Genomic DNA, 18,895 nt, shown 5'->3' on the forward strand with positions numbered 1-18,895 from the left:
TTTTTTTTAAGACCGAGTCTGGCTCTGTTGCCCAGGCTGGAGGGCAGTGGCACAATCTTGGCTCACTGCAACCTCCACCTCCTGGGCTCAAGTCATCCTCTCTCACCTCAGCCTCCCAAGTAGCTGAGACTACAGGCTCATGCCACTATGCCCCACTAATTTTTGTACTTTTTGTGAGACGGGGTTTTGCCATGTTGCCCAGGCTGTTCTCAAACTCCTGAGCTCAAGTGATTCACCTGCCTCAGCCTCCTAAAGTGCTGGGATTACAGGCATGAGCCACTGTGCCCAGCCTCTAACATTTTCATTCCCCATAAAGAAACCTCGTACCCACAAGCAGTCTTCCCCCTCCTGCTGCCCCAGCTCCTGGAACCACCAATCTACTTTCTGCATCTATACAGTTTCCTATTCTGGCCATTTTTAAAGAACAGAATCACACAATATGTGTCTGGCTTCTTGCTCTTAGCATAATGTTTTTCAGTTTGTTTATATTGTAGTGTGCGTAAGAACTTCACTCTTTTTTCTTTTTCTTTTCTTTTTCTTTTTTTTTTTTTTTTGAGACAGCCTCGGTCTGTAGCCCAGGCTGGAGTGCAGTGGTGCGATCTCGACTCACTGCAAACTCCGCCTCCCGGGTTCACGCCATTCTCCTGCCTCAGTCTCATGAGTAGCTGGGATCACAGGCATCCGCCACCACGCCCAGCTAAATTTTTGTATTTTTAGTAGAGACGGGGTTTCACCATGTTGGCCAGGATGGCCTCGATCCCCTGACCTCATGATCTGCCCCCTTGGCCTCCCAGAGTGACTTCATTCTTTTTTGTTGCTGAAAAATATTTAATTGTACAGATAGACCACATTTTGTTTATCCATTTGTTGGTTAATGGACATTTGGGTTGTTTCCACCTTCTGGCTCTTATGAATGGTGCTGCTAAGAACATTAGTGTGCAGGTTTTTGTGTGTACATGTGTTTTCAGTTCTCTTGCATGTACACCTAGGAGTGGACTTGCTGGGTCATACAGTAACTCTATGTTTAACTTTCTGAGGAACCGTCAGATTGTTTTCCAAAACAGCCGCACCGTTTCACTCACTCTTGCCTCTTTGCATTCCCACAGCCCTTGGTGTCCACTTGCTACCTCTGGCCGTGTTTCTTAGCTCCTTGCCTGTGGGCCTGTTTCCCTCAAGAGAGCTGGAACCTGACGGCGATGAGTGTGTATTTCTTTTTTGTGTGGAGACGGGGACTCACTATGTTGTCCAGGCTGCTCTTGAACTCCTGGACTCAAGCAATCTGCCTGCCTCATGCTCCCAAAGTGTTGGAATTACAGGCATGAGCCATCATGACTGGCCTGGATGAGTGTGTTTTACTTATTTTATTTAATTATTTTATTTATTTATTTTATTTAATTAATTAATTTTTGAGACAGGATCTTGCTCTGTCAACCAGGCTGGAGTGCGGTGGCGCGATCTCGGCTCACTGCAAACTCCGCCTCCCGGATTCAAGCGATTCTCCTGCCTCAGCCTCCTGAGTAGCTGGGATTACAGGCGCATGCCACCATGCCTGACTAATGATGAGTGTGTTTTAATCCGGAGTCATATTTATTTTAACATCCTCAGTTTCCTCATGTGTACAAAGGAAACAAGGTATGGAGCTGACAGGTAATCTCACCAGGAAAGTTTTGCTTCATGAAAGCTATTCCCTGGCTAGTCTGGGAGATGGCCCCCCAAAACTACTTGTGCGGTATTTCTGGTCAGGAGCAAGAGAAGAAAATCCTGACAAGTTCTCTTAACCCTTAACAAAGTTGGATTCTATTCTATTTTCCAATTAAGTTATAATTATTCATCAACTATGAGAGCCAATAAGCAAGAGTTGCTATATCATGTGGCTTTATTTTCTGGGATACAGGTCTGGCATTTCTTTCTTTGATGTCCTCTTCCATAAGGTTCTCTGGGAGCAAGCCACGCCCACAGGCTCAGTCTCCCAGCACCCCCATAGTTTCTCCTCTGCCTCAGCCGGCACCTCTGTCGTCTGCGTTCACAAGTCTTCCATTTTTCCATTATGTGACGCATTCTTTGTTTTGTTTTCTGTTACTGAGTTTTGCTCTTCCTTCAGTTTCTTCTTAATATTTTTGCTTCTTTTTGATATAATAACTAAAATGTAGAAATGATGTTATTGAGATAGTAATAAGTGAGGAATAAAAATGGAGACAAAAGGGGTGAGGGAAAAAGCCTGGAAAAATAGAGGTACCAACAGTGGAATTTTCAGAGGATTCATAATGAATGTTATTTGTCTGACAAGGATGGTGAAAATTAAATTTTAAAATTATTTTCCCATATTTTGTATTCAAGTTGTATAAATGCCCAGTAAAAGAAGAAGAAGAATGTAGAAAATTTATAATCCAATGTGGTAAAGAGACATTGGGAAAATGTTTTCTACAGGTTATGACAAAGTCCTCTGCCTCAGTGAGCATCAGTGATCTCTCCTGCTGTGGCTGTTCTGCCTCTTTCTGGCTATGTCTGGAGTTTTTAGAGAGTGAGTCCATGTGAGGATGGTTAGTATGTCTGAATCACACACTACACTCTCTATAGTTTTCTCTCTAGAATTTTTTAAACAGGTACCCACGAATCTCAGAACTTCTAGGCTGGGCTCAGTGGCTCACACCTATAATCCCAGCACTTTGGGAGGCCAAGACGGGAAGATCTCTTAAGCCCAGGAGTTTGTGACCAACCTGGGCAACATGGTGAAAACTGTCTCTACTAAAAATACAAAAACTAGCCCGGCGCAGTGGCTCATGCCTGTAATCCCAGGACTTTGGGAGGCTGAACAGGGCGGATCACTTGAAGTCAAGAGTTCGAGACCAGCCTGGCCAACATGGTGAGACCCCCCATCTCTACTAAAAATACAAAAATAAGACAGGCGTGGTGGCATGTGCCTGTAATCCCAGCTACTCGGGAGGCTGAAGCATGAGAATCACTTGAACCCAGGAGGCGGAGGTTACAGTGAACCAAGATCACACCACTGCACTCCAGCCTGGGCAACAGAGCGAGACTCCATCTCAAAAAGAAACCACAAACAAAAATGAGCCCGGCATAGTGACATGCACCGTAGTCCCAGCAACTCAGGAGGCTGAGGTGGGAGGATTAACTGAGCCCAGGAGGTTGGGGCTTCAGTGAGCTGATATTGCACCACTGCACTCCAGCCTGGGTGACGTAGTGAAACTCTGCCTCAAAAAAAAAAAAAAAAAGAAAAAAGAAAAAAAAGGCCAGGAGCGGTGGCTCACACCTGTACTCCTAGCACTTTGGGAGGCCGAGGCGGGTGGATCAATTGAGGTCAGGAGTTCGAGACCAGCCTGGCTAACTGGTGAAACTCCGTCTCTACTAAAAATACAAAAATTAGCCAGGGGTCATGGTGCACGCCTGTAATCCCAGCTACTCGGGAGGCTGAGGCAGGAGAATTGCTTGAACCCAGGAGGCAAAGGTTGCAGTGAGCCAAGATTTCGCCACTGCACTACAGCCTGGGTGACATAGGGAGACTCTGTCTCAAAAAAAAAAGATAAATAAATAAAATAAATTCTACAGGCGGGGTGCATTGGCTTATGCCTGTAATCCCAGCACTTTGGGAGGCTGAGGTGGGTGGATTACAAGGTCAGGAGATCGAGACCATCCTGGCTAACACGGTGAAACCCCGTCTCTACTAAAAATACAAAAAGTTAGCTGGGTGTGGTGGCGGGTGCCTATAGTCCCAGCTACTCGGGAGGCTGAGGCAGGAGAATGGCGTGAACCCGGGAGGCAGAGCTTGCAGCGAGCTGAGATCATGCCACTGCACTCCAGCCTGGGCAACAGAGCAAGACTCCGCCTCAAAAAAAAAAAAAAAAAAAAGAACTTCTACAAAATCAGTTTTAAATAATCAATTTCATCCTCTTCTCACAAGGACAGCAGAACATGTCTGTGGTGGGCATGGCATGCTGGGAAATTTTACCCTGGGGTAGTGACCTCTATTTTGTGGGTCTGGATCCCATTTTCACGTCAGATGGAGACAGATGGTGCAGGTGAAACATCTGCGTGTCTGTGTTCTGAATGCAGGATAACATCACGGTAATGAGTATGTTTAACGGAAACATGTTTTGTGCTGGGAAAAGTTTGTTTCCTGAACTCTGTTAGATCCGTGGAATTGCCCTGCAAAAGGAACTGAGCAACCCCACAGCTGTTCACCCCTCTGTAAGATTTGATGAGAAAGGTTCATTTCCGTAAGTGTGGCTGTGAATATTTGTCTCTCTTACTTCAAACTCCCTTAACTCCCACTTATCTTTGCCTTTGAAAACCAAGCCACAGGCCAGGCGCGGTGGCTCACGCCTGTAATCCCAGCACTTTGGGAGGCCGAGGCGGGCGGATCACGAGGTCAGGAGATCGAGACCATCCTGGCACCCGAGCGTTGGTGGTATAGTGGTGAGCATAGCTGCCTTCCGAGACCATCCTGGCTAAAATGGTGAAACCCCGTCTCTACTAAAAATACAAAAAATTAGCCGGGCATGGTGGCGGGCGCCTGTACTCCCAGCTACTCGGGAGGCTGAGGCAGGAGAATGGCGTGAATCTGGGAGGCGGAGCTTGCAGTGAGCAGAGATCGCGCCACTGCACTCCAGCCTGGGCTACAGAGTAAGAGTCCGTCTTAAAAAAAAAATGAAAGAAAGAAAGGAAGGAAGAAAGAAAGAAAGGAAAGAAAGAAAGAAAAGAAATGCAAGCCACCGCTGAGAAAGAAAGAAAAGAAACGCAAGCTGCCGCTGCCAGCTTGGCTTTCCTGCGAATAGCTCTTACAGGTCACACTACCTGAGTGGATGAACTTTTCCAGCTCATTTTCGTTCTCTGGAAGTAGGTGCGTGGACTCACCCTCGTCCTCTGAGCCCTCTTCTTCATCTCCTAATAACGGTATCCTGAGGTTCTTATAAAGTGACTCGAGCTGTTGTCTTTCCTCAGCCTGTGCCAGTCGACTGGAGAATGATATAAATGAATTTAGAAGCACAGTTTTCATGATGAATAATTCATTTCTCAACCATGCCACTTTTTGACAGGAAAGGAGTCGCTTGTGGAGTGGGTGCAGACATAAGACTTTGAAACCAGACTAATCATGGTCAGCTCTCAACTGTCTACATGGTCAGGCCATTTCCTGGAGTAAGGAGTAACTCCGATCATCCCAAAGCATGGATCAAAGCCAGGACTAGACGTGAACAAGGCACTCACATTGGGTTCCAAACTTAAGGTGTTGACAAAAAATCCATAATCAAACAAATCATCTTTCTTTCCATTCCTTTCTCTTCTCTTTTTCTTTCTCTTTTTTTTCCTTTTTCTTTCTTCTTTCCTCTCTTTCCTTCCTCCCTCCCTTCTTTTCTTTCCTTTTTCTTTCCCTTTCTCTCTCTCTCTCCCTTTCTCTTTCCCTTTCTCTCTCTGTATCTCTCCCTTTCTCTTTCTCTCTCTCTTTCTCTCTTTGGAACAGGGTCTCATTCTGTCACCCAGGCTAGAAGTGAACTGATACAATCATGGTTCACTGCAGCTGCCAACTCCTGGGTTCAAACAGTCTTACCTGCTCAGCCTCCTAAGTAGCTGGGACCACAGGCTCGTGGCACCATGCCCGGCTAATTATTTTTGTATTTTTTTTTTTAGAAATTGCGTCTTGCTATGTTGCCCAGGATGGTCTCAAACTCCTAGGCTCAAGCTGTCTTTCCTCCTTGGCCTCCCAAAACACTGGAATTACAGGTGTGAGCCACTGTGCCCGGCCATAATCATGTTTCAGTGTAATATTTTACAAAATAAAAATTAATGTCAAGAAATCCGTGATGAACAAAATAGGACAGAATGGGTGTTACTGATTTTTCTACCTCACTGTAGGTCCAATCCTGGAAGTGGATCACTGAACAGCTATTTCTGTTTGGTGTGGAAATGGATGACAGTGTTTTCCTAACATACTTACCTTCCCAGTACTGTGTGAATTATATATTAAAAAAATACTTTTAGGGGCCAGGCGCGGTGGCTCACGCCAGTAATCCCAGCACTTTGGTAGGCCGAGGCGGGCAGATTACCTGAGGTCAGGAGTTGGAGGCCAGCCTGACCAACATGGAGAAACCCCGTCTGTACTAAAAAAATACAAAATTAGCAGGGCGTGGTGGCACATGCTTGTAATCCCAGCTACTTGGGAGGCTGAGGCAGGAGAATCACTTGAACCTGGGAGGCGGAGGTTGCAATGAGCTGAGATGGTGCCATTGCACTCCAGCCTGGCCAACAAGAGTGAAACTCCATCTCAAAAAAAAAAACAAAAAACTTTTAGGGTTAGTTTATTTTTTGTTTTTCTTGCTCAAAAGGCTGGGACAGGAGCAAGATTTGAGTGACAAAAGGGAGGTGCTCGCCTCAGTGCGAAATGTAAGGAGGTACCCCAAACAGTGAAAAATGAAGATGAGTATTTTAACTCAATTTTTTTTTTTTTTTTTGCAGATGGAGTTTCACTCTTTTTGCCCAGGCTGGAGTGCAATGGCGCGATCTTGGCTCACCACAACCTCCACCTCCCAGGTTCAAGTGATTCTCCTGTCTCAGCCTCCCGAGTAGCTGGGATTACAGGCATGTGCCACCATGCCTGGCTAATTTTTTTGTATTTTTAGTACAGATGGGGTTTCTCCATGTTGGTCAGGCTGGTCTCGAACTCCCAACCTCAGGTGACCCGCCCACCTCGGCCTCCCAAAGTGCTGGGATTACAGGCGTGAGCCACCGCGCCCGGTCCTTAACTCAGTATTTTTAAAAATTGAAATGAAGCAAAAAAAACAAAATCCAGGATATACCAAATATCAAGATTGTAAACAGAGATAGGATCCAAACAGTGCTGTGCTAAACCACAGGGGAGCTTGAGTCAAAAGGAAAGGTGTGAGTCCCTATACACGTTTTAATGTATTTTTAAATGCTTATTCTTTTCCAAAACACTTAAGAAGTTCAGAATATATTTAATAATTGAAAACTGGTGTATGAAAAGTCACAACATTAAGTTTAAATATTTTATCTAGGCCAAGCACAGTGGCTCACGCCTGTAATCCCAGCACTTTGGGAGTCCGAGGCGGGCGGATCACGAGGTCAGGAGATTGAGACCATCCTGGGTAACATGGTGAAACCCCGTCTCTAATAAAAATACAAAAAAAAATTAGCCGGGCGTGGTGGCGGGTGCCTGTAGTCCCAGCTACTTGGGAGGCTGAGGCAGGAGAATGGCGTGAACCTGGGAGGCGGGGCTTGCAGTGAGCTGAGATGACGCCACTGCACTCCAGCCTGGGCAACAGAGCAAGACTCCGTCTCTAAAAAAATAAAAATAAAAATAAATATTTTATCTCTACCCTAAACAAAATTAATTGTAATTTTACTTTCCTGGTTTAAATAAAAGCAAACTTACCAATAGTATTTTCAAAATCTACTTCTGGAAAAAATGAACCACTAAAAATTACATAAAACTTGTACTTTTGAACAGGTGGTTTTGTTTTTTTTGTTTGTTTTCGTTTTGGTTTTGGTTTTGGCCCCAGGCTCCACTATAGCTTAGTGCTAATACAAATGTGAAAACAATAAGAATTGACTAGCTCAGCAACTCAATTCAACACTGAGTGTCCAGGAGATATGTTTTACTGAGTTGCATTACAAAACTTTATATTTATTAATAGTTTTGTTATAATAATGAAATATACAGAAGCTACAGTTACATAATTTTTGTTTTTGAGACATGGTCTCACTCTGTCGCCCAGGAGGAAGTGCAGTGGTGCAATCTCAGCTCACTACAACTTCCACCTCCAGGGCTCAAGCCATCCTCCCACCTCAGCCTCTTGAGTAGCTGGGACTACAGGTGCGTGCTACCACACCTGGCTAATTTTTGTATTTTTTGTATAGACGCGGTTTCACCATGTTGCCCACGCTGGTCTCAAACACCTGAGCTTAAGGGATCCACCCGCCTCGGCCTCCCAAAGTGTTGGGATCACAAGTGTGAGCCAATGCCCCCGGCCTATACATTTACATAAATTAAGCGGATGTAGTGGAGATAACCCACAACCAAGCACGCAGGTTACGCTCTCATTAGCAAAATTCCCCTTTTACCTTTAATGTCACTTTGCCTTCATGTGACCTACTCCAAGGTGGTCTTAACATAGCTGCCTCAGAAAATATCTCACACATGGCAATATATCTTGTTTTCACACTTAATTCAACGAAGCAAGCAATTTTGTACTTCTCAAGCTGTTTCTGGTGGGATACAATGGAATCCTAGCACGGAATCATACAGTAGGAGTCAGAATCTGTTGGTTTGGTCAGAACCGCATGAGATCACAGTGTGTCTCACCTTTTTCTACCGTGAATTTCAAAATGATTACATCACTCAAAACAGCTTGACCCCAAGCTTTATTTGCGAAGACGGTGATGTAACTTCCCCCAAAGCTGCTATCACCCCAGACTGCACTGACACATTTCTAGTGAAAGGGAGAGTGGTCGCTCTTTTCTGCTGTGCACTATTGAGATTCCTTCCAGAGTAGCAAGTTCTTTTTATTTTATTTATTTATTTATTTATTTATTTATTATTTGCGACAGAGTTTTGCTCTTGTCGCCCAGGCTGAATTGCAATGGCGTGATCTCTGCCCACTGCAACCTCTGCCTCCCAGGTTCAAGCAATTTTCCTGCCCCAGCCTCCCAAGTAGCTGGGATTACAGGTGCCCACCACTACGCCCAGCTAATTTTTGTATTTTTAGCAGAGACGGGGTTTCACTATATTGGCCAGGCTAGTCTTGAACTCCTGACCTCAGGTGATGTACCCGCCTCAGCCTCCCAGAGTGCTGGGATTACAGGCATGAGCCACCACACCCGGCCTCAAGTTTATTTTAAAATACCAAATTCTGGGGTCTGGGAATGGTGGCTCACACCTTTAATCCCAGCACTGGGAGGCCAAGGTAGGCGGATCACCTGAGGTCTGGAGTTCGAGACCAGCCTGACCAACATGGAGAAACCCCATCACTACTAAAAATACAAAATTAGCCTGGCATGGTGGCGTATGCCTGCAGTAATCCCAGCTACTTGGGAGGCTGAGGCAGGAGAATTGCTTGAACCCAGGAGGCAGAGGTTGCAGTGAACCAAGATCCATACCATTACACTCTAGCCTGGGCAACAAGAGCGAAACTCCGTCCCCTCCCCTCCAAAAAAAGTAGAAAAAATAAAATAAAATAAAATACTGAATTTTGGGAGGATGCTAGCATCTCAAACTGTGTCTTTCAAGCATTTTTGATCATGACTCCCAGTAAGAAATATATTTTATTTCACAACCGTGTGTCTGTGTGTGTGTGCATGTCTCACATGTATCTGAAAAGTTTAAAAATCAGCCTTTTACATTAATACTTTAAGTAATATTTTCTTTTCTTTTTCTTTTTTTTTTTTTCAGACGAGTCTCACTCTGTCACTCAGGCTGGAGTGCAGTGGCACGATCTCGGCTCACTGCAAGCTCCGCCTCCCGGGTTCACACCATTCTCCTGCCTCAGCCTCCCGAGGAGCCGGGACTACAGGCACCCGCCACCACGCCCGGCTAATTTTTTGTATTTTTAGTAGATACGGGGTTTCACCGTGTTAGCCAGGATGGTCTCGATCTCCTGACCTCATGATCCACCCGCCTCGGCCTTCCAAAGTGCTGGGATTACAAGCGTGAGCCACCATGCCCGGCGTAATATTTTCTAATATTTTCTATTCTGCTGAATTGTATTCTGTCCTGTGTCTTTCTTTCTTTTTTTTTCATGTGTATCATGCCTCAACATGAGTACAATCCACATGTTGAAAAACACTAATCTGGAAATTTATAATGACCAATACTTTAGCAATTATAAGATGTATCATCATCATCCTTTGACATTAAATAATAATCAGTTGACTTGTTATGTCTCATTTAAGGACAGCAGATATTACTTAGCAGATACTTACTATATCATATAGGAGATTGCCATCCCACATATCAGGGCAATGCTGAAGGCTACGCTCGAAATTAAAATTACTTTAACAAGAGCAGGTCTATGCCGAATTATTGCTAAAAAGAAAGAAAAGAAAAGAAGTGCTCAAAAATGTTCATTTTAGCTATGTCTTTCAGTTAATATATTTGTCCTTACAGAGGGGAATGGAAGTCAAAACCAGAAACACTTTCAAAAATAGCTTGTTTTGTTTTTTTTTGTTTTGTTTTCTTTTTTGACACTGAGTCTCGCTCTATCACCCAGGCTGGAGTGCAGTGCATGATCACAGCTCACCGCAACTTTCGCCTCCCGGGTCCGAGCAATTCTCCTGCCTCAGCCTCCCAAGTAGCTGGCACTACAGGCATGCGCCACCACACCTGCCTAATTTTTTTGTGTTTTTGTAGAGATGGGATTTTGCCACGTTGCTCAGGCTAGGACTCTTAATTTTAGAAAATACTGAAGTTAGATTTTCAGTGAGCCGAGATCATGCCACTGCACTCCAGCCTGGGCAACAGTGTGAAACTCCGTCTCAAAAAAAAAAAAAAGAAAGAAAACTGAAACAGACCATTGGGGATTGGGCATCCAAGAGGTCACTAGAGACCTGGGCAGAGGCCATATTAGCTGTGTGGTGGGGACACAACTGAAGCAGTTTCAGGAGGGAGTGAGAAGAAAGTAACTGTAGACCATGAATTTTGAAAATTATTTTGGGGAACTTTGTATAAAAGAAAGAAGAGAAATGGGCACAGCTCCTGGAGGAGTCTAAGGGATCGAGAGATGGATTTTGTTTTTTAACATGTGAACACTGGCAGCATGTTCGTGAATGGGAATGAAAGAGTGAATCGTGATACTACGGTGCCAGTTCATTCTGGCTGCTGTAACAAAACACCACAGGTTTGGTGGCTTAGAAACAACAGACACAGCCAGGTGTGGTGGCCCACTCTTGTAATCCCAGCACTTTGGGAGGCCGAGGTGGGCAGATCACGTGAGCTCAGGAGTTCAAGACCAGCCTGGGCAACATTGTGAAACCCCAACTCTACAAAAATACAAAAATTCATCGGGTGCGGTGGCAGGTGCCTGTAATCCCAGCTACTCAGGAGGCTGAGGCAGGAGAATTGCTTGAGCCAGGGAGTGGGAGGTTGTAGGGAGGTGAGATTGCGCCATTACACTCCAGCCTGGGTGACGGGAATGAAACCCTGTCTTAAAAAAAAAAAACTTTGGGAGGCAAGGCAGGTGGATCAGGATGTCAGGAGTTCAAGACCAGCCTGACCAACACGGCGAAACCCCATCTCTAATAAAAATACAAAATAAAATTAGCTGGGCATGGTGGCACACGCCTGTAATCCCAGCTACTCAGGAGGCTGAGGCAGGAGAATCACTTGAACCCAGGAGGTGGAGGTTGCAGTGAGCCGAGATCGTGCCACTGCACTCCAGCCTGGGCAACAGAGCGAGACCCTGTCTCAAAAAAAGAAAAAGAAAAAGAAACAAAGAAACAACAGACATTGGTTTCTCACAGTTCTGGAGGCTGGGAAGTCCCAGATCAAGGCATCAGCAGCTTTGGTGGCTGGCGAGGGTTCACTTTCTGGTTCAACAGAGGGTGCCTTCTTTGTTGTGTCCTCACAGGGTGGAAGGAGTGAGACAGCTCTCTGTGACTTCTACTGTAAGGGTGCTATTCCCAGTCATGGGGGTTCCACCCTCAAGACCGCATCACCTCCTAAAGGCCCCAACTCCTAATATCCTCACCTTTGGGGTTAGGATTTCAATACTTGAATATGGGGTTGGGGGACACCAGCATTCAGACCAGAGCATGCAGGAAAGGGAGAGGGAATTGTCAGGAAAGTCCTTGAGTTGGCCTAAGAGGATGGAAGCTGGGACACAGGCCAGCCTTGGCATGGACGGTTCAATTTCCAGCAAGAGACAGAGAAAGGAGGTGTGATTGCTGGTAGACAGGAGGGTGTGGATACTGTCTTTTAACTGCTTGTATTTTGTTTGTGAAGGAGGCAAACAAGGTCATTCTGGGAGAGCAAGGCTGGGGTAGAATACATTGAGATATTTACAGAGCTAGAGAAATATATGAGAAAGTCACCAAGCAGGATGGGAGAAATAGACTAGGAAAATGAATAGCATATTTTTAATAAAATTTACTAGAAATGGAATTGCTGGGTGTATTTATTATATTTTCTTATTTTCCGTATTCCTGATGCTCTGGCATTTGGGGCCTTAATCCTGGAGACCTCCCTTCCCAGGGCTAGCTATTTCCTAGAGACAGCGAATAACTCCCCTACAAGCACATCTTTGAAATACAAACCAACCAATCCACAGCCCACACCCCAACCATCTCCTTTTCAAACTCACACAATAAGCCAATCTCTCCCTGCCTGCCCTAAATCACCCCAGGGCCAAATACTGGACAACTAGAAACCATCCCTATGATTTACCAAAACTATTCAAATCTATATTTGCTCAGAGTACCTGCCATGCCTCACCCATTCCTTCCCTCAGAAACCCCAGTAGAGGCGGGGACCTTGCTCACCCTCACTCCCTGTGCTTCCTGAGGTTACTGGTGTACCCGTGTGTGGTGGGCCATGTCTCCTGTTTCCAGGAATCTATAAGTATAAACTTTTTCCTTCATGAAGATCATTTGCATGTCTGGGAGTCTTGCCATAACTGATTAAAATAAATCCCCCAGGTATATTTCAACACTCTAGGTTAAAAAGTAATTGCCAGCCGGTTGCGGTGGCTCATGCCTGTAGTCCCAGCACTTTGGGAGGCCGAGGTGTGCGGATCACAAGGTCAGGAGTTCAAGACCAGCCTGGCCAACATGGTGAAACCCCATCTCCACTAAAAATGCAAAAATTAGCCGGGTGTGGTGGTGCACACCTGCAATCCCAGCTGCTTGGGAGGCTGAGGCAGGAGAATCACTTGAGCCCAGGAGGTGGAGGTTGCAGTGAGCCGCGATGGCGCCATTGCACTCCAGCCTGGGTGACAGAGTGAGACTCTGTCTTAAAAAAAAACAGAAAAAAAAAAAAAAAAAAAAAAAAAAAAAACCAAGAAAAAAAACAAAGTAAGCACCTTGGCCAGGCATGGTGGCTCATGTCTGTAATCCCAGCACTTTGGGAGGCCGAGCCGGGTGGATCACCTGAGGTCAGGAGTTTGAGACCAGCCTGACCAACATGGTGAAACCCCATCTCTGCTAAAAACACAAAATTAGCGGGGCATGGTAATGGGTGCCTGTAATCCCAGCTACTCAGGAGGCTGAGGCAGGAGAGCTGAGATCGCATCATTACACTCCAGGCTGGGCGACAAGATACAAGATTGAAACTCCATCTCAAAAAAAAAAAAAAAAAGTAATAGCATTGTTTTTATGAGAACTGTCAATTGCCCTCTCTAGAAGTTGTGCTCACTGCTAGCCTACAAACAAGACATGAGATTATGTTTCCCAGCTCCTTTGCCAATACAGTTATGAGACATTTTGCCCACTTTCAACAGGATAGCTGAAAACTGGAATTACAGTGTAGTTTTATGAAATTAAATTATTCAAACTTAAACTAATTTAAACTTAAAGCTGTTGGAACTTTGAACTACTCTGAACCTGAGAGCAATGTGGCTATGCAGCCTGAATCACAAGGATGCAGTGGCAACTTCTGCCTTTTTTCCTGTAAATAAGAAGATCAAGAGGTGCCAGCTGTGAGAGCCCCCTCAGATGGCTTCCCCTCCTCACAGAGCAATAATCTTCCTTGGAACGTTGCCGTCTATAACCAATCAAATAGCTGTAACTTATGCACTCGTCTCATATGGAAAATGTTACAATCCTGCTACAATGTCAGTCTCTGCACATATAAGTGAAACCATAACTTCTCCTCTTTGGAAATGCTGTCCCCATTAGTTTGGAGTCAGTGTCTCGTGGGTGGACATCCTCAAGCTTTGTGCTCAAATAAACTCTGTACTTAATCATATTTGTCGAACTTCATTATTTAAGCTTGGCAGTTTCAATGCACAATTCTTACTATGAGTAAGGTAGACATCTTTCCATATAATTTTTTTTTTTTTGTTACAGAGTCTCGCTCTGTTGCCAGGCTGGAGTGCAGTGGTGCGATCTCTGCTCACTTCAACCTCAGCCTCCCGGGTTCTCCTACCTCAGCCTCCCGAGTAGCTGGCCTCCACCATGCCCAGCTAATTTTTGTATTTTTAGTAGAGATGGGGTTTCACCATGTTGTCCAGGCTGGTCTCAAACTCCTGACCTCAGGTGATCTACCCACCTCAGCCCCCCAAAGTGTTGGGATTACAGGCATGAGCCTGTACTGCACCCGGACCATCAACTTTATTAGATAAACAATTTTGTCCCGTCTCTATCCTACCTACAACTGGGACCTGAAGCTCAGGGGTGGCAGAGGTCTCAGTGACCTTCTAGCACCAGCACACAAAACGAGCTAGTGTCAAAAGAAGGACCAGTGTGCAGGCCTTTGATACCCCAGCCAGGACTCAAGCTCTGTGCTTTGGTGATGGTGGTGTCAATGGGCAGGTGAAACAGTCATAGCTGAGCTTTAGGAAGATTGATAATGTGTTTGGCGTGGATGGATGTATTCATCACGTTTTTTATTTTCTGTATTTCCTGATACTTTGACATCTTGGGGCCTTAACTGACCCTTGAAGAGACTGCCCTCCCAGGTCCAGCCAATTCCTGAAGATAGTAAACCCTGGCCTGCAAGTGCACCTTTCATGTGCAAGCCGACACACCCAAAGCCTACACCCCAACAATCTCTATGGAGCCCTCATGCTCCAGGCCACCATCCCCTGCCCCCAACCACCCCAGGGCCAGGTCCCAGACAACCAGGGACATACCCCATGCCCCACAGCCACCAAATCACTCAAGCTGATCCCAAGCCCGCCTTCCCTACCTGCCTTCCTGTAAAAACCAGAATAAAGTTGTTTTTTTTAAAAAAGACAGCCTCGCTCTGTTGCCCAGGCTAGAGTGCAGCGACCCAATCTCAGCTCACTGCAACCTCCACCTCCCAGGTTCATGCGATTCTCCCGCCTCAGCCTCCCAAATAGCTGGGATTACAGGTGCCCACCACCACTCCTGGCTAATTTTTGTATTTTTAGTAGAGATGGGGTTTCACCATGTTAGCCAAGCTGGTCTCGAACTCGTGACCTCAAGTGATTCATCCACCTCGGCCTTCCTAAGTGCTGGGATTACAGGGATGAGCCACCGCACCCGGCCCAGAATAAAGGCTTTTGCTCACACTTTCCTGGCTCCCTTTGCCTTCTGATAGACCCTGGTGCTTCCTTGTGTGGACTCCTGCTTCTAGGGACCCGTGAGTATCAGGCTTCTTCCTTCATGACAGTCATTTCTGTGTCTGCATGTCTCACTCAGCATATGTGATTAAATAAAATGCTGGCTACATGTGAAAGCAGTGGAGATGGGTAGGTGGTGGGGGAGCTGACTCAGAAGCCGCCCTGTTGCAGGCACTTAGCAAATGTGCAGAGGAGAAGGAAGGATGCTCTGGGGCGGGAGCAGCAGCAGGACACAAGGTGCCTTCTGCTTTGGAGGACTCTGAAGCGAGAGGTGTTGAGGAGGTTCCAGGACAAGCCACAGTGGGGAGAGTTGCTAGAAAGGCTGCTGACAGGGCCGCTGTGTGTGCCCATGCATTTTGTGTGTTCCACAAAGAGATCTCAGACACAGCCTGTGCTCTACTCACTACAACATCAGCCCGTGGAGTTGAGCCACCTTCTCACCTGCCCCAAGCGGTGTCACTGCGCATCCCCCTCCAGAGGGGGCACCTTGTCTAACACACATGAAGGCACCACGTGTGCAGGCTCCTTGGTGACCAGCCAGCACCCTCTGGAGCCACACATCACGACAGCTTCAGGAATGTTGCGGGTCCACCCGCCCTCCCAGATCCCTTGGCTTACCTTTATTCCTCAGGAATTTCATGGGGTTCGTAGGGGATGCAGCTAAAAGGCCATCAAAGGGGATCAAAAAGAAGAGACTTTAAGATGGTTTAAGATGAACTTGGGAAAACAAGGAAATAACTTAGCATTAGAGAAGGACGCCGAACACACAGCTTCCAAATATCTAAGATGGGATGTGTTAATACATTCCTCCCAATGCCTGGCAGCAATGTGTGGGTTAATTTGCAGAAGCCTGGTGAGCCTGCTGTTCTTTTTGCACCTGGTGCTTCCTGTCATGAAGAATGACCTTTAGGAACAGGATACTTTTGGTTTCTGGTCTCCTTTTGCAGTCATACAAGTTGGGAAATCTCTGCCCAAATTAAGGACCTGGAGAGACTTAGAGTTGAAGGGGCTACGACCTCATTAGAAGGTCAGCAAGGGTTGGGCACAGTGGCTCATGCCTGTAATCCCAGCGAGGAAGGCAGATCACGAGGTCAGGAGTTCGAGACCAGCCTGACCAACATGGTGAAACCCCGTCTCTACTGAAAATACAAAAATTAGCTGGGCATGGTGGCACGCGCCTGTAGTCCCAGCTACTCAGGAGGCTGAGGCAGGAGAATTGCTTGAACCCGGCGGTGGAGGTTGTGGTGAGCCGAGATTGCGCCACTGCACTCCAGCTGGGTGACAGAGTGAGACTCCGTCTCAAAAAAAAAAAAAAAAAAAAAAAAAAAAAAAAAAAAAAAAGGATCAGAGAGCCAGGCAGAGAGGCCAGGGAACCAACAATAGTGTCCTTTCCTCGGACACAAATTACATGCAAATGTATCACACAGACAGCATTTCCCTTGCATGGAATGGAGATTATTTACAAGCATCATATATCTCCACAAAGGGTTGCTGAGCTTCAAAGATTGTCGGGGTTGGTTTTGCTGTTATAAGATAAACAAACATCCTCTAGTACTCAAATTAGAAGGGAACCATAGAAAATGCTTATAAAGAATTCTCGGCTGGGCATGGTGGCTCATGCCTGTAATCCCAGCACTTTGAGAGGCCGAGGCGGGCGGATCATGAGGTCAGGAGATCAAGACCATCCTGGCTAACACAGTGAAACCCTGTCTCTACTAAAAATACAAAAAATTAGCTTGGCGTGGTGGCGGGTGCCTGTAGTCCCAGCTACTTGGGAGGCTGAGGCAGGAGAATGGTGTGAACCCAGGAGGTGGAGCTTGCAGTGAGCCGAGATCGCGCCACTGCACTCCAGCCTGGGCGACAGAGCAAGACTCTGTCTCAAAAAAAAAAAAAAGAAAAAAAAGAATTCTGTACACTCACAAACCTTCTGTGTCTAGACTTGCATGCTCTACTGCCAAATGTGCACCAAATTCAAGTCAGACAGGCATACCTGTGTAATCTGGATGGGATCAAGGTTTTTGTGTGCGCTTATTAAAGTGAAATGAAAAAGAGAAGAAAGTGGCAATCCCTAAAGAGAAAGCAGTTAACAGAGAGTGAAGAGCATAAGATCTAATTTCCAAGCAAATGTTTATCTAATTATACTCTATTTTATGGACCTTTCTACCAGCAAGCACACAGTACACATTCACATGGCAGATAAGAGGACTCCAGGCTACGATTCTCACTCCACTGAATGAGGAATTCAATGACTCACCCGTGGATCTCGAGGCAGCCCCTTGAATCCCAGGCAACTGGGTTTTATGAAAGAACACTTTGGGCTCTTTGGTGATGTTTCTGGGTGGTTGTGACCGTTTACTGCCTTGAAAAGAAAACTTTTTGCGGTGAAATGTAATTACCTTCTTTTTATCTCCCCTGAAACAGCTTTTCAATTCTCCCTGAGTCACATAAAACCAGTGGTTGAAGCTACCTGGTAAGCCTGTTATGTTTCCAGTGGGATGGAGTCCATCTGCATACGGCAAGCATAAATGAAGTTGGCATTCCATTAAAAACAAAAACAAAATGAGGAAACCACTCTGAACCTTGTCCATCACTCTCAAATTATCAGTATTTTATCCCGTAGATGAAAGGAAATACTTAGCTACAGTCCAGCATCTGTCCTCTATTTATCTGAGGAATCAAGAAGTTCTACTCCCTTCAGAATGTTTGGGCAGTGACTTGGAGCCACCAGTGTGAGGTCAGTCCTTGCTGTGATAATGGAGTTCCTTCATGGAACCATGCTGACCAATGGGGAGACTACAGTGTAAGAGGGCAGTGCTTGGAGGTGCAGGCATGATGAGACCAGGTCCCTGCCTGCAGTGTGCAGATTAGTGAGGAGGCAGAAAGAAATCAATTACAGTCAGCCCTCCGCATGCATAGTTCCCCATCCGTGATTTCCAACAACCTCACTTGGAAAATGTTCAGGAAAAAAGGAATGGGCACGGTGGCTCACGCCTATGATCCCAACACTTTAGGAGGTCAAGGTGGGCAGATCGCTTGAGGCCAGGAGTTCAAGACCAGCCTGGCCAACACAGTGAAAGCCCATCTCTACTAAAAATACAAAAATTTGCTGGGCGTGGTGGTGCACACCTGTAGTTCAAGCTACTTGGGAGGCTGAGGCATGAGAATCACTTGAACCCAGGAGGTGGAGGTTGCAGTGAGCTGAGATCATGCCACTGCACTCCAGCCTGGGCGACAGAGCAAGACTCTGTCTCAAAAAAATAAAACAACAAACACAAAAACAAAAACTAGCCAGGCATGGTGGCGTGTACCTGTAGTCCCAGATACTCGGGAGGCTGAGGCAGGAAGATCACTTGAGCCCAGAAGGCAGAGGTAGCAGTGAGCCAAAATCGTACCACTGCACAAAGAAAGAAAGAAAAGAAAGTGGAAGGAAAGCAGTCACCCTTAGAAGGGAGGCAATGTGCACAGGGGAGACCCACAGCAGGAAGGTAAAGGGGGACTCCTGATGACTGAAAGTGGGCCCTAGGCTTCAGAGATGGGAGGAATAGAAGACGGGCTCAAAAAAGGCAATGAACTATGTCATGTATGAGGGAGACAGAGGGGACCTGGGAGTGCTGGATGTTAGGGACCAC

The 18,895-nt window shown here is 46.0% G+C and overlaps 1 protein-coding gene across 1 annotated transcript; it reads right to left on the reverse strand.

Annotated features, from left to right (window-relative positions):
* Positions 1-1,858: 1,858 nt before the first annotated feature.
* On the reverse strand, positions 1,859-17,956 carry C19orf18 (chromosome 19 open reading frame 18). Its single transcript, NM_152474.5, has 6 exons — positions 17,734-17,956; positions 17,521-17,625; positions 15,885-15,926; positions 9,952-10,054; positions 4,813-4,973; positions 1,859-2,139 (listed from the first exon to the last, which is right to left on the reverse strand). The coding sequence occupies exons 1-6, from the start codon at positions 17,852-17,854 to the stop codon at positions 2,024-2,026; spliced, it is 648 nt and encodes a 215-aa protein (NP_689687.1). The 5' UTR covers positions 17,855-17,956; the 3' UTR covers positions 1,859-2,023.

Source organism: Homo sapiens, chromosome 19 (genome assembly GCF_000001405.40).
Source record: "Homo sapiens chromosome 19, GRCh38.p14 Primary Assembly".
NCBI classification, from domain to species: domain Eukaryota; kingdom Metazoa; phylum Chordata; class Mammalia; order Primates; family Hominidae; genus Homo; species Homo sapiens.

Excerpts from the sequence above, each read along its gene's own strand:
- C19orf18 (NM_152474.5), bottom strand. The coding sequence starts at position 17,854 with ATGGACAAGGTTCAGAGTGGTTTCCTCATTTTGTTTTTGTTTTTAATG. Across the intron at positions 17,626-17,733 it reads AAACATAACAGGCTTACCAG|GCAGTAAACGGTCACAACCA; the intron begins GTAGCTTCAACC and ends TTTCTTTTCAAG. Across the intron at positions 4,974-9,951 it reads GCAATCTCCTATATGATATA|TCGACTGGCACAGGCTGAGG; the intron begins GTAAGTATCTGC and ends ATCATTCTCCAG.